Raw genomic sequence first — 14,755 nt, forward strand, 5'->3', positions numbered from 1 at the left:
CAAAAAGAATAAAGTTGAAGGGAACCTTGGGTTATCATCTTGTCTGCCTCCGGTTGTTGGTGGTGGGGATTTTTGATTCTGAATCACCTTCCAGTAATGGGTATTCTAAAAGATCTTCAGGAAAACAGGCTTTCTCAGTAATTTTCAGGAGCTCTCACTGACAATAAGCTTTTTTAAAAAATTTCCATTGTAAATCACTCTAAACCGAATTTTTTTTGGCCTGTAATCACATTGCTTTCTTGGTTGAAAGAGAACTAGTTTTATTTGTATAGTAGAAGATAGTTGTATTTTCTCATTTTTTTCTACATGAGACTAAATGACTATAGTTTCATTAAACCTTCTTTGCTTTTGAATTCAATGTATGAGTAGAATATTTTGTTCTTTTTAAATTTAAAAACTGTTAGATTTTTGTGGCCGGGCATGGTGGCTCACGCCTGTAATCCTAGCACTTTGGGAGGCCGAGGCAGGTGGATCACCTGAGTTGAGGAGTTTGAGACCAGCCTGGCCAACATGGTGAAACCCCGTCTCTACTGAAAAAAAAATAAATAAAATAAAATTAACTGGGCGTGGTGGCGGGCGCCTGTAATCCCAGCTACTCGGAAGGCTGAGGCAGGAGAATCGCATGAACCCAGGAGGCGGAGGTTGCAGTGAGCCAAGATTGTGCCACCGCACTCCAGCCTGGGCAACACAGTGAGACTCCACCTCAAAAAAATAATAATAATAATAAACAAAAAACTATTAGTTTTTTTGGGGGGGGTCATTTTTAGTGTTCTCTTCTGGATATTAAGTCATTTCATCTCCCTTAAATGAAAGACTTGAGACACTGTATTTAGTAAGGAATCTACAGACTTCTATATGGATTACCTGAGAATACTTAATAGCAGAACCACGATTTGATTTCTGTGGGGCCTTGCATCCTTATTTACCATGGAAGTGGATAACTAGTTATTTTCTGTTGGTTTTGAATGATTTGGCTTACTATTATAAATTTTGTATTATGACAAAAGCTTTTTAAAATGTAATTGTAAAACCTAGTCTTTTCAAAGGTAATTGATTTAAATAAGAGTTTTATTGTTTGGGGACCAGAAGAGTAGAAACAAAATTATAATTCCCTTGAAGGAATTTAGAATTGATTGAAAAAGACTCTTAAAACCTATATAGTTGATATATAGTCATAGTAGAAAATATAGAAAATATAGATGAGCAAAAAGTTGAAGATATACCAAATCCTGCCATGTATTAATAATCCCTAACATTTTTGTATGTAATCTTTTAGTCTTTTTTTCTGTACCTATATATGTGTATCTATACACCCTCAAATGGGATCATGTTAATTTGTAAACTGCTTTTTATTTTAATGAATATCTTTCCATGCAGTTATATATTTTGTCTGTAACATCATTTTTAATGGCTATATAGTATTCTATTAAATGGATTCTTCCTAATTTACTTAATCATTTCCTACTATAAGACATTTAAGTTGTTTGTAAACATATAGTACTGTGATGAACATCTTCGTTACTACATTTCTGTGTCCATGATTACTTTTTTAGGACAGATGTTCCTAAAGGTGGAATTGCTTGGATTAGGAGATGAACATTAAGGACTTTTGATATGTATCATCTAATGGCCCCCTAGAAAAGTTCTGTCAGCCTGCTCTCCTATCAGGTGTTCAGAATGGTGGTCTTCCTGTGGGGCATAATTAATGTTAGATAAATAGAATTTTGGGAAAGAAACTTACGAGGTCATTTAGTTCAGTCCCCTTATTTTACATCTGAGGCTGCTGAGGATCAGAGAGGTTAAGTGAGATGCACAGAGCCAAGTTCAGCCAAGTTCATTGAGGAATGCTGAATCCTGTATAAGTGTATTTCCACTATTCTAAGCAATTCTGCTATCCTGAGAGAAAAGGAGGCAAATTCTAAGATAGGAAGAAAAGAATAAAAGAACTAAGGTGAATGAGAATAGATGATAATACATATATTTGTCAGCAGATTGCATGTTGATTTTTGGTTCCCATTTACCAGTACTCACTTCTCCTCACCTCTATCTGCTTTAACATCCCTTTCTTGTCAATGTTATAAGAATATGTGGAATGGCGTGAACCCGGGAGGCGGAGCTTGCAGTGAGCCGAGATCGCGCCACTGCACTCCAGCCTGGGTGACAGAGCGAGACTCCGTCTCAAAAAAAAAAAAAAAAAAAAAAAGAATATGTGACTGCTTATCATCAAACTCAAGTATAGCTTACTGCAAACAATTTAAAATGAATACTTTACAAATAAAAACTAGCAGAGGAAAAGAGAACATTGTCTTTTGATACTGTCTTTTTAATTTCCTTGGGCCTGGTTCCTGGTTTTTTTTTTTTTTAGACCCCAGTAGCTTTCTTGTAGATATGAGGAAATAATCTTTCATTACAGTCTCATGGAAAAGAAAGTATGTCTAAGTGAACATTTTGAGAAAGAATCATAATATTCTGGTTGTGCTTTGGGTATTAATAGTGTAGCTAATAAATTTTACTCATTACTGTTTATAGGAATCAGATGTTTGGACAACGTGTTTTATCAAATGGATTAAAATATGCTTGAAAGCCTGGCAACAAATGGCAGAGTAATAATACTATAAAGTGTCTAGAGGCCTGGGTTAGATCTCATCTCTGTTAAACATCTGTGTTGATCATAGGAGAAAGTGTAGCAAGAAGAGCTATACTTGTTTAAGTACTGAATGTTTCTCTTTGAAACAGAGGCCCAGGTCATTAAGAAAGAAACCATTATAAGTTTCTTGAAGACTGATGTTTATTGCCTCTTCTTAAGTAATTATAGGCATATAGTGTTTAAAAAAATATATTGGTACTTACCTTATACAGAGTCTTAAAAGTTCAAATCTTAATAAAGATGTTTCCCCATCCCAGGGTTCTTAGTTTTCCTCTTTTTTTTTTTGGTTATTAGTGTACTTCAGTAGATTATCTTTTTGAAATTGTTTTTGTTTTTATCTAACTTAAACATGGATTTACTTACTTTGCTCTAATGAGAGTATTATGGATTTTTTCCCATAACCCATAGCTGAGCATAATCATAAATACTAGAGGCATCACTTAATCAAATTTAGTATCATTCCCACAGATAACTAAAGCTTGTCACTTATATTCTTGAAATTTTTTACCTGCCTTTTCTTCGAACTTTTGAACTGATTTCTTGCTTTTCTTTATCTTTCTTGATCTTTTCTTCATGGATTCAAAAGGAAAAGGTATAGTAAGTAATTTTAGTTTGCATGAATGGTTTCTTTTGGTCTTTTTAATGTTGGAAGAGAATGCTACCAATTATAGTCAATGTCCTCTTACGAAATGCTTATTGAAAAAAACCCAGCTAATTGAAAAATTAGTTAAGTGGGAAATTGTGAAAAACTGTAAATATATATATACCTTCAATGTTTTAACTGAAAAATATAATTTTTAACTGAAAGTATATACATTTTCATTTTTCCTTTGATCTTTTGATGTAGTCCCAAACCTTTTCTTTGAGTTTGTATTTGCCACTTGGGTTCTGAAGTATCTTTTTTGGCATAAACTTTCATCATTAATGGGTCATGCAAGATTTGCCATTTTAAATTTTAAAAATGAGGTGAAAGCTTAAGCACCTGTGAGTCAATCAATGCATGCAAAATCCTAGATTTTAACAAAACTTTCAGTCTTTTCCTGTTATATTATGAACACCTTATTTTGTGACAGTTTTGTATAGAAACTCATCTTTACCAAGTTTTTCTAAATCATCCCATTTAATGTTCATGGAAACAACAGCTCTTTCTTTTTCACTCTGTTTCATTGGTTTATTTACTGTTTAAGTTTTAAAGTACAGTAACATTACAATGGCATGAACAGGCTTGGGAATGAATACAGCTGACTCATAGTAAGCATAAGCATTCTGGAAAATATCCAACTAGCAATGGGGATTCAGTATGCCCTGGCTTCAGTCAGTAAGCCTTACAGAGGGAAGGAGAACTTGAATTCTGTGAGTTGGTTTGCTGGAGGTCAGGTAAAAGTGCTTCTGTTGTTTTATGATCATCGATGAAAAATGTTTCCTGATTAGATCTTTTCTCCCTCGGTCCTAGAGAATATTTTAGTGTGAATAAAGGATAAGAAAAGGCTGGATGTGGTGGCTCACACTTGTAATCCCAGCACTTTAGGTGGCCGAGGTGGGCAGATCACTTGAGGTCAGTAGTTCGAGACCAGCCTGGCCAACATGGTGAAACCCGTCTCTACTAAAAATACAAAAATTAGCCAGGCATGGTGGCATGTGCCTGTAATCCCAGCTACTTGGGAGGCTGAGGTGGGAGAATTGCTTGAACTCAGGAGGCAGAGGCTGCAGTGAGCCGAGATCGTGCCACTGCACTCCAGCCTGGGTGACAGAGTGAGACTCTGTCAAAAAAAATAAATAAATAAAAAATAAAAAATAAGAAAAGAATAGTATTAAAGAATAGTGAATATTGGCCAATAAAGGTAGAGTTCCACACACACAATTAAACTGGATTCCTACTAGGATGTAGGTATTTCCTTCTTTGAGAAATAGAGGATTGGGCTAATTTTGGTATATGGAAAGAGTTAACAGAAATTCTTGAAGTATGTTCAAATTTAGATTTTAGGGCTGTTACAGACTTTGTACATTATTTGTGACTTTTCTTTGCTATTCAGCATATTATTCTTAAGTCCAGAATATGCTGAGGAGATCTACTCTAAGCAAAGTGTACTTTGAAAGACATGCTAATAAAAGATACAGATATAATTCAGGGCAATGCCAAATAGATGTGTTGTTTGTGATATTTGGCCTTCAAGTTATCTAAATTAATTGGTAAGCTATATTACTGTCATAAACAGTAATTCCTTGCATTTGTGCCATTTGGTGATTTTCTAATTTTTCATAGGCAAAACTCTTTGTCAACTCAGTGAAGTTTATAAGAAAGGTGATAGTCTCATTTCATATTTCTTGCCAGGGTAACCATTATTAAGACCCCTGCAATTTTTTTAAAACACAGATTTGACAGTAGTAACCAAATATACCTTTATGTGACTTTGTAAAGAAATTAGATATGCTGTTAATTTAATAACTTTTTCCAACTGTAGACAAAGGAGACTTCAGAGAGGAGGAGGAGAATAGAATTTTTCCTTTTAAATTCATGAAATCAAGAGTAACCTGGAGTGGCTCTCATTTTCACCTTCTGTCCAGGTCATTTTGTTCTTTACATGTATCCATGGAATTTAAGTGTTTTGAAGAGGTTTTATGTTTATTTTGGTCAAATATTTCCCAGAATTGTCCAGAATTTTCTGGACTACAGAATGTTTAGTTACTCTAGCAGGAGAAACCTCTTCAATAAGACTGCTTTCTTCTTTCCACAGAAATTCTACCTTTTCTGAATTTAGTCTAAATTATATAACAGCAAGTTTGTTAACATGGTACTATAAGGATAGGACATATGAAGAGGAGTGGCCAGGCACAGTGGCTCAAGCCTGTAATCCCAGCACTTTGGGAGGCTGAGGCAGGTGGATCACTTAAGGTCGGGAGTTCGAGACCAGTCTAACATGGAGAAACCCTGTCTCTACTAAAAATACAAAATTAGCTGGGCATGTTGATGCATGCCTGTAATCCCAGCAACTTGGGAGGCTGAGGCAGGAGAATAGCTTGAACCCGGGAAGCAGAGGTTGCGGTGAGCCCAGATCGTGCCATTGCACTCCAGCCTGGGCAACAAGAGCGAAACTCCGTCTCAAAAAAAAAAAAAAAAAAAATGTATGAAGGTACCAATAAGAGCTTGATAAATATCTTTATGGAGTCAAAGTAGATTACATTTGTTACACTGTCCATCATGTCTCTCACCATCACTGCTGTTTTTTTTTAAGTGTATATATGAATGTAATCTATAAATTAGTTTGTGATGAGCACTTAGTAATATTCAAGGGACACTGAATTGGTTCCTTTGTGCATTATCTTACTTTACTCATTTATTCCTCTTAGCAACACAGTGAGATAATGGGCATTTTCTACATTTTACAGATGAAGATAGGGAGGCTAAGTGAATTTAAGAAACATTCCTAAAATTACCAAGACATACTGTAGTTGTAAGGCTTGTAACTATCTGTGGGGTAGGGGTGGAATTAAAATCCAGGTATCTGGTTTCATAGTCATGATACCTTCTAAAGGAACATTATAAAAACAACAAATATATTGTAAAAAATCCAGAAAAAAGTTGAGAATGTTTCCATTAACAGATTTGTGGGCTGTAAATTTAATCCATATTGCAGGAATGGCTAAGATTGATAATTTACTTCCCTGTCTTAGCTAGTTGATGGTATGTGGGAACAACAGTCAGGAAAGCACAGTCATGTTTGGTTTTTAATCTACAAGTTATGTCCTTTTCCTTCCCTCATTTCATCCATTGCCACTCTTCTCTATTTCCTCTTCATGGCACCCTTATTCTCTTTGTTATCATATTCTCAGTTCTCCTGCTTATACTTCCTGTGCCTGAAATAGTCCGATTTAAAGTATGAACGTTGTTAAATTAGAAAGTAGTAGTGAGAGTCTTTAAGTATTGGTGAATCAGAACTCTGTGAAGTTTGGATCTCAAAGCAGGGACTACAAAGGATCTTCGCAGTATGCTGCTTAGACATCGCTCTGTGCCTGGAAGGCAAGCGGTCCAAACTCCAGGGTATGAAATTTCATACCAGCTCTATCTTTGTCCTCTTACTTTCAGTCCATCTGTTACCTATACATGTGACCCAGAGTAGAGGTATATATGGAATACTGTTGCCCAACCATCATATCATGACAGTTTGCAAATTAAGGTATGTGGAGAATCCACTAACTATACAGCGTGGTTCTGATGAAATAAGGATCATGCAAAACATTATTTTAGGTAGGTAGTTTTGGAAGAGCAAAATAAAATGTGATGTTATATTTAGAGTCAGGAAAATTATAGAATAAAGGGAAGTTTTATAATTTGGATTAAATCGAGGAAGGGTGAAAAAATTGTAAGGAGGAGAACAGTCAGAATGTATTGAAAAATATCTGTAGTTGTAAAATTCTAGATGTGAATAAAGACAGTAACTTTTAAAATACATCAGACCTTGTATATTTATGAGTTATTCCTTTTCAGTGTTCACCTTGGAAGGCTAAAATCCAAAATGATTGAAAAAAATAGAGTATTTTCTATGTGCTATGTAGTTATACTCATTGTTTCAGAACTCTTTTTTGGGAAGGAGGGATTACTATTTAAGTCATTTTATGAGCACAGAAAAGGACTCTTACAGTATTCACTCTGAATGGGCAAAAGGACTGACCTAATATTATTCCCTAGACCTGAGAATGAGTGACTGTGTCTGATAACTAGATTTACTTTTATAGAAGGAGAACTGGCAAATGTGAAAGCTATTCAGATGATTGTCAGATGCCTTCTAAGCACAAGGCATTAAGCAAGGTGCTTTGGGAGTGTTAATTCACTCATGATCTTAGCCCTCAGAGAGGTCATAGTGTAATAGGGGAGGTAAGACATACCCCAAAATTCACATGTAGATAATTAAGGGAGACACAAACAGTGCTGGGGAAGTTGCGAAAACTCCAAGTTGTGGAAATATGGTGTTTTTTGCATTTTTCTAAATAGTTAAATTTTGTAGGCATGCATTCTGACATTTAAATTTTTAATTTCATTGTTTTCAAGTGGGTATAATAATGAACTCTAGACAAAATAAGCATTGCCTAGGAGAAACCCTAGAGAAATTTCTTTTAATTATTAGATAACAGAATTTAATAAATATTTGAGTGCCTCCTGGAGAAATCAGAGGTGATTAAGGCAAGATCCTCGCCCTTATCACCCTTAACAAACTTAATCTAATAGATATTTGAATTGCTTGCTTTTAGCATATTTTGTTTGTTTGTTTGTTTGTTTTTGAGATGGAGTCTTTCTCTGTCTCCCAAGCTGGAGTGCAGTGGCATGATCTCAGTTCACTGCAACCTTTGCCTTCTGGGTTCAAGCAATTCTCCTGCCTCAGCCTCCCAAGTAGCTAGGATTACAGGTGCCCACCACCACACCCGGCTATATTTTTTATATTAGTGGAGATGGAGTTTCACTGTGTTGGCCAGGCTGGTCTCGAACTCCTAACCTCAAGTGACCTTCCCTTCCTCAGCCTCCCAAAGTGCTGGGATTACAGGTGTGAGCCACCGTGCCTAGCCACTTTTAGCATATCAAATTTTGATGTTTGAAATAATTTTCTGAAGCTGTTTAAATGTTTACTCTGTAATTTGCACCGTTAATTAGCTTAGTAAATTTTCTTTATGGATAATATAAATGTAAATTTCAGCCAAATTCTAAATTAAGTTTCTTGAGTTTTGAAGTTTTATAGTTATTTTAAAAGACGATGGTATTCCCGATAACTTTGCATCTTAAAAATAGCAAGAAATACAATTCTAGGATGAGACAGGTGACGGTTTGTTTAAGGAGATACAGATTACATGTGGATTTTTTGGCTTATCATTAGCATTTTTTATTATGCTTCCTTGTAGATCTTTTTTTTTTCCTGTATTCTTTTTTTTTTTTTTTTTTTTTTGAGACCATGTCTCACTCTGCTGTGCAGGCTGGAGTGCGGTAGTGTGATCTCAGCTGACTGCAACCTCTGCCTCCCAAGTTTAAGTGATTCTTGTGCCTCAGCCTCTGGAGTAGCTGGGACTACAGGCGTGGGCCACCATGCCCAGCTAATTTTTGTATTTTTAGTAGAGTCGGGGTTTCACCATGTTGGCCAGCCTGGTCTCGAACTCCTGACCTCAGGTGATCCACCCACCTCGGCCTTCCAAAATGCTGGGATTACAGGCATGAGCCACCGCACCCGGCCTTTTTTTTCTGTATTTTTAAGTGTCTAATTCAACGCCCAGCATCTGCTAGTTGCTCAATAAATATATTTAAAAATGAATGTGACTTCATTATCTGCTGCTTTTGATTCTTGTCACCTCCCAAGTCTTTGAAAGCATGCCTGTACTCGATGTATTTACTCTCTTGCATTTCCTTCACTTGACTTTAAAAACTGCTTTCTTTAGATCAGAATCAAGCTTTGCGACTCTGTCTGGGTAGCACTAGTGTTGGAGGTCAGTATGGCGCTATCTCTGCCCTCAGTATCAACAATGATTGCTCAAGACTTCTTTGTGGCTTTGCTAAAGGACAGGTAAGATATGAACCTCCTTTAATTCATAAGACAATGTTAAAACAAGATGAATTTACAAAAACTTACATCTTAGATCAAAGACCAAAATACGTGTTATGAAGTAATATGTTTGTAGAGCTAACCAGAGATTGCTGAATCTGAGTTTTGTCTTGTTCAAAATTTTACATAATTGTTATCGACTGACCCAGAGTCTGTAATTTTTTATATCCTAGTTCATGTGTCTATTTGAGTAAATAATTTTTGTAAACCAACCAGGGATGTTATATAAAATGTACTTCCTTACAGTCGTGTAAATAATGGAGGCTGCTTTTTAGAAAGATTCTGTGTTCCTGGATAACGATTTTTGCATTTCTTTCTTCTTCTGAAACTGGCATTAGATTATGGTTTTTTTATCTTCTGATTCATACATCACTAGCTAGTTTGGCAGTAAGCCTTTCCGATACTTTTTACTAGTGCTAAACAGATTGACTTATTAGAGAAATATCTTTTGTCTCTCAGTATGAGAACAACATTTAAAATCTAAAGGGAGAAGTAGGATGGGCAGGATGAAGGGTAAATGAAGATCGAATAAAGGCTCTATGCTTTAATGGATCTGCAACCTTTAGGTATGTTTTAACTTTATAGTTCTTTGCCTGCAATGTTTATAGTCAAGGAATAGATTATTCCAGCCAGAAGGCAGGATACTTAAGTCCAAAAAAAGAGCAATAAATTTGTTTTTGAAGCACTTAGTTGTCTTATAGATCACCATGTGGGATTTGGCCAGTGGAAAACTTCTAAGATCAATAACAGATGCTCATCCTCCAGGAACAGCAATATTGCATATCAAGGTAAGAGCTTTATTTTCTTTTCCTAATAATTTTTTTATTATGCCTTTGTGTTTATTTTAAAGTAAATTTCTCTATGTTGATGATCAGAGTCCAAAAAATGTATTTAACATGAAGCTGAACATTACCTTATAAATAGAATCCTCAACATTGAGCTGTCTTTTATTTGACTAGCCCAACATGATGTTTTTCCAGGTTAAAACTAGAGATGGGCTAGTATGGAAATACTCAGCTTCAAGTTGTATTGAAGTCTAATTGATACAGCGGCAAAAAGGGCAAATTGGTGTGTTGCTAGACTAGAGTTTGGCCATAAAGATGGGCAGCACCCTGCTGAAACTCATATGGAGCTCTTAAAAGGTCTTTTTACCTTTGTTTAGGTCATCAAAATTTTATTGCTGAGGTGGTGTGCTCTGTCACCCTTTTTTGGGAGTTGCCTGAGGTTCAAGGCACAGATCGTGAAAAAACCAAGGTTTGGATTATGTTTAGAAATGAATCTATTGGTTTATTTTCTTTCAGGCCTCTAAAGGGAAAGCATTAAGATCCTAGTCTTGGCTTTCTCCTTATAGGCCTGAAAAAATAAACTGACTTAGGTAACAGATTTCATTTATAAATACAATGTGAATGTTGATTCTTCCACGCTGTCAAGCCCATGTTCAGAAGCATAAAAGGTAAAGGATTATAACTAGAGAAGTCTAAAATCAGATCTTCTAGATTTTAATCATCTACACATTTTGTTGCTTAGCTCTGCAGAGCTCTGTCATCCGTAAGTATGCTTTTTAAAGTCTGCAAGCATCTGGAGTTTGTATGTCTGTATCTAAGTTAGTTACAAAAAAGTCTTCTGTGACAGAGCAGCGTTGAAGCATTTAGTAACAATAAAAACAACCAAGACAAGTAAAAGTGGAGAGAATTTCTTCTCTTTCAGAGCATTATGGCAAAGTATCTTGACCTCTTTTCATATGGCTTGTGCCAACTTCTAATATGTTATAGTTGTTTGTATATATGTCTTATCTCTCTTAGTGGATGAATGTCTTTGAAATCACAATCTGTTTGTCATTTATTTTTGTGTTTTACCCATAGTAGCTGCTCAATAAATATTTGATTGAAGGAAAAACTAGATGGTGGTGTTTATACAAGAGAAATCCTTTTGCAGAAAAAAAAATACTGGGAGAAAGAATAAGAAACAGAAGAGATAAAAGCAGAGAGAAAAGAGAAGAATGCAGTTGAGATAAATAACATATAGTAGGAGCCATTGTGTTGCTTGACAATGGTGATGAAGGTGGTACATGTAGATAATAACACTGGAGTAAGACACATAGGATTGAATATTTCTGAAGTCTTCTACTGACATCAGCCACTTGCATTTTAATACTCCTACACGTTGTTCTCCAAACTTAAGCCTGTATCTCATCAATAACAATTTGGAATTTCATTCTTTATGGATATTTATGTGTGTGTGTGTGTGTGCGTTTATATGAATACACTACTTTACTAATTTTTATGTACATTATAAAGCACGTACAAAAGAAATAGAAAATTAAACAGAAATACAAGTTCTGTTATTTTTCCTGCACTCCAGCGGACCATGTCATGCACACACCTAGGGTATATGCTTCCCACTCTGGCAACTGCTCATCGAGGCTGTAAGAGCAAAGTTGTGGGGCTTCTTAACTATGCGTGTGTTTGGGTCAAGGAAGAAGAATTTTACAGTGGCCTCCAGTACCTCAGCCATCCCTGACTGGGAACCTGAGGCGTGCTATTTAGGATGGTTCACTAACCTTTGAGTTTAGGGAGGATAGTCACTGTAAATGGTACAAGTTCAGTTTATTCCATTTTGTGTCATGCAGCATTGACCATACTTCAGGTCACCTTAGGACTGTCTGTCATTGTGAACATGACTTATTATTCTGAGTTTTCTAAGTTAGGTAGTGATAACTGAAGTATATGCTGTGGAAGAAGATCAAGGAGGTAGCACGTTTTGGGAAGAGTTACATATGAAAAGTTAAAATGTTTTAGATATAGTGGACTTACTTTTCAGCTATTCAGAAGACATATTCAGATAAGTTTATTTCTCAAAGATACCAAGTATTTTTTAGAGTCTTTATTCTTTAAAACTGGGCAGGTGTAAATGTAACCAAAGGATCTCATTTACTTAGTAATAGCAAGTTACAAAAAGTTATTGTAAGAACCCAAATAGAGAACTTTAGGGTTTTTAATCAATCATAGTTTGTATTTTTCTTTTATCGTGATGAAAGGTGGTTTTGCTTTTTGAAAGCCTCTGTTTTTTTAAAGATATTGGACCATTATTACTCTAAATAAAGGTAAGTTTGTAAGTTTAGAGTGATGAGCACTGAATCTAGTTTAGGTTATTTCAAAAGCTATTAAATGTGTATATTGTAGTTTTTCAAAATTGTATAATTTTTTCCTCCTTAATACTTGACTGTTTAAAAATGTACAAGAAAATAAATTCCTTCTCTGTTTAGTTTACAGATGATCCAACTCTTGCAATTTGCAACGACAGCGGAGGCTCTGTTTTTGAATTGACATTTAAGTAAGAGACTAGTGGACATTTGTTGACAAATGAAAAGACTAGCTCTGTTTTAATGATTTGAAATTGAACATGAAGAGGACTAGAAAGCCCCTGTAATTGAGAGTAGATTATGACTGTGTATTACAATTACCTGGGAAGGCTTATATTAATAGAACAAACAGAGTTCTGGGCCTGGTCCTCCCGAGTTTTATCTCAGTAGGTCTGAGTTGAGATTCTAGACTCCTACTCCCCAGAAGATTCTTATATGCTGTCAAGCTTGGGACCACTCTTCTGGAATAGCTCACTAATTTTGGTTTAGGCTCAAGGCCCAGTTGATTTTAATCATAATGGGCAGGTGTAAACAGGTTTTTAATTATCTTAGAATTGCCATGTTTGCTCTTTAAGAGCAAAGACTGTCTAGATACATCAAAGAACATTTAGGAAGCAGAGTTTTTTGAAAAGTAGAACATAATATTCATTGAATATTATGTCTCCATAAGTTCTTCAAGGTTAACAACTATCTTTGTTTCTTGTGTTTCTCATAGCTTCTAACAATGCTAAGTACAAAGTAATTTCTGAAAAAAACATACTTCTTATTCAGTTAATGTTTATTGAGCATCTCCTATGTGTAGGTATTTATCTAGATCCCAGAGTTATAGCTGTGAACCAAGCAAAGTTTCTGCTCTAAGAGAACTTACATTCTAGCTGCAGTAAGGGTAAGGAAACAGCAAACCAGCACGTAAATGAAATCACCTCAGATGGATGTAAGTGCTGTGAAGAAAACAAGACAGGGGATTGCACTAGGTTGTACTTGAGGATAATTCTGGAATGCCTTTCTCAGAAGGGGCAACATCTGGAAAAATAACTGAATGGTGAGCCAGTCAACAAATGCACAGATCTGAGGAAAATATTCCAGGCAGAGACCATTCAGACACAAAGACTTTGAGGTGGCCACAAACTTGGCATGCTAGAGCAATGGAAGAAAGCAGGTGTGGCTGGAGTGTGACTTTGTCAGGAACACAATAATGGGAGAGGAGTGAAGGGAGAGCCAGATCATATCCTTTTAAGACATGGGAAAGAGTTTGGATTTTATTTTTTATGTACAGTAGCAAGCCAGTGGACTGTTTTTGGCAGAAAAATAAATGAATCTGACTTGTATAATAAAAAGACCATGCTGCTGTCCTGTGGAGCTTGGATTGTTGGGGGTTAAGGAGGTAGGAGGTAGGAGGCTATGAAAGTAGTCCAGGTAGAGATAGTAGTGCCTTGGATCATTGCTAAATTGATTCTGAATTTTCAAATTGCATTTTCAGGAGAGTGATGGGAGTGAGAACCTGTGAATCTAGATGTCTGTTCAGTGGTTCCAAGGGTGAAGTCTGCTGTATTGAGCCTCTGCATTCTAAGCCTGAGTTGAAAGATCATCCCATCACACAGTTTTCATTATTGGCCATGGCATCCTTGACAAAAGTAAGTGTATTTAGAAGTTAAAACTCAGAACTTTTAGAAGCTTTGAATACCAAATATTTGAAAATTCCAAGGTCAATATTGAAAACATATTTTTCTCTTACAGATACTGGTCATTGGATTGAAACCATCCTTGAAAGTATGGATGACTTTTCCCTATGGCCGGGTGAGTACGTCCCTCCATCTTATTTGCCAAAGGAAGGACCATGTCAGGAGGTTGAGAGAGATGGCTTGCAAGGGGTGAATTCTATGAGATTGTCAGAAAACTAGACAGGATGAAAGTCAGTGCTCCAGAGATCGTTGGCTGGACTTGCCTTAAGGTGATCAAAGCATCATAAAGCTGATGACCAGCACAGTGTCCTAGGGATCATGAGTCTTGTACTTTTCCACTTTATCACTTTAAGCTTTTCTCTCATAGACAGCATACAGTTGGCTTTTGTTCTTAACCTTAACTTGACAGTCCCTGTATATTGCTGTCCTGGTACTCTGTGGTCACACCTAACTTCATGCATGGCATTTCCTAGCTTCATTCGTTGCCCTTCTGAGTGCAGTAAAATTCCCTTATCAGATTTAAAGTTGAAGGATAAGTTGATTTATTGAGTCCAAGCCCTGATTTTCAGTGTTTGAAAGATACTTGTTTTTACATGGCTGCTGTGCTGAGACAGGCTTATACTCACTGCCTGCAGCTTTGGCACTGAACTATGGATAGAGTAGACCCCACTGTAATATGCGCCATAGATTGCTATTACATGTG

The 14,755-nt window shown here is 36.1% G+C and overlaps 1 protein-coding gene across 22 annotated transcripts in view; it reads left to right on the forward strand.

The window, feature by feature from the left end:
• VPS8 (VPS8 subunit of CORVET complex) overlaps positions 1-14,755 on the forward strand; it is a 240,449-nt gene that overhangs the window by 27,841 nt on the left and 197,853 nt on the right. For 13 of the 22 annotated variants that reach the window (NR_146113.2, XM_024453426.2, NM_001349294.2 and 10 more), the window contains 6 exons: positions 3,234-3,239; positions 9,065-9,189; positions 9,930-10,016; positions 12,494-12,561; positions 13,851-14,004; positions 14,108-14,167. Coding sequence is in view for 19 of the 22 variants with exons in the window: in XM_024453426.2 (XP_024309194.1) it covers positions 3,234-3,239; positions 9,065-9,189; positions 9,930-10,016; positions 12,494-12,561; positions 13,851-14,004; positions 14,108-14,167 (500 nt within the window). In the remaining 3 variants the exon portion in view is untranslated. The remainder of the gene's footprint in view (positions 1-3,233; positions 3,240-9,064; positions 9,190-9,929; positions 10,017-12,493; positions 12,562-13,850; positions 14,005-14,107; positions 14,168-14,755) is intronic. The other 9 variants (XM_047447824.1, XM_047447823.1, XM_024453428.2 and 6 more) reach the window with 1 other exon arrangement.

This window comes from Homo sapiens, chromosome 3, assembly GCF_000001405.40.
Source record: "Homo sapiens chromosome 3, GRCh38.p14 Primary Assembly".
Taxonomy (NCBI): domain Eukaryota; kingdom Metazoa; phylum Chordata; class Mammalia; order Primates; family Hominidae; genus Homo; species Homo sapiens.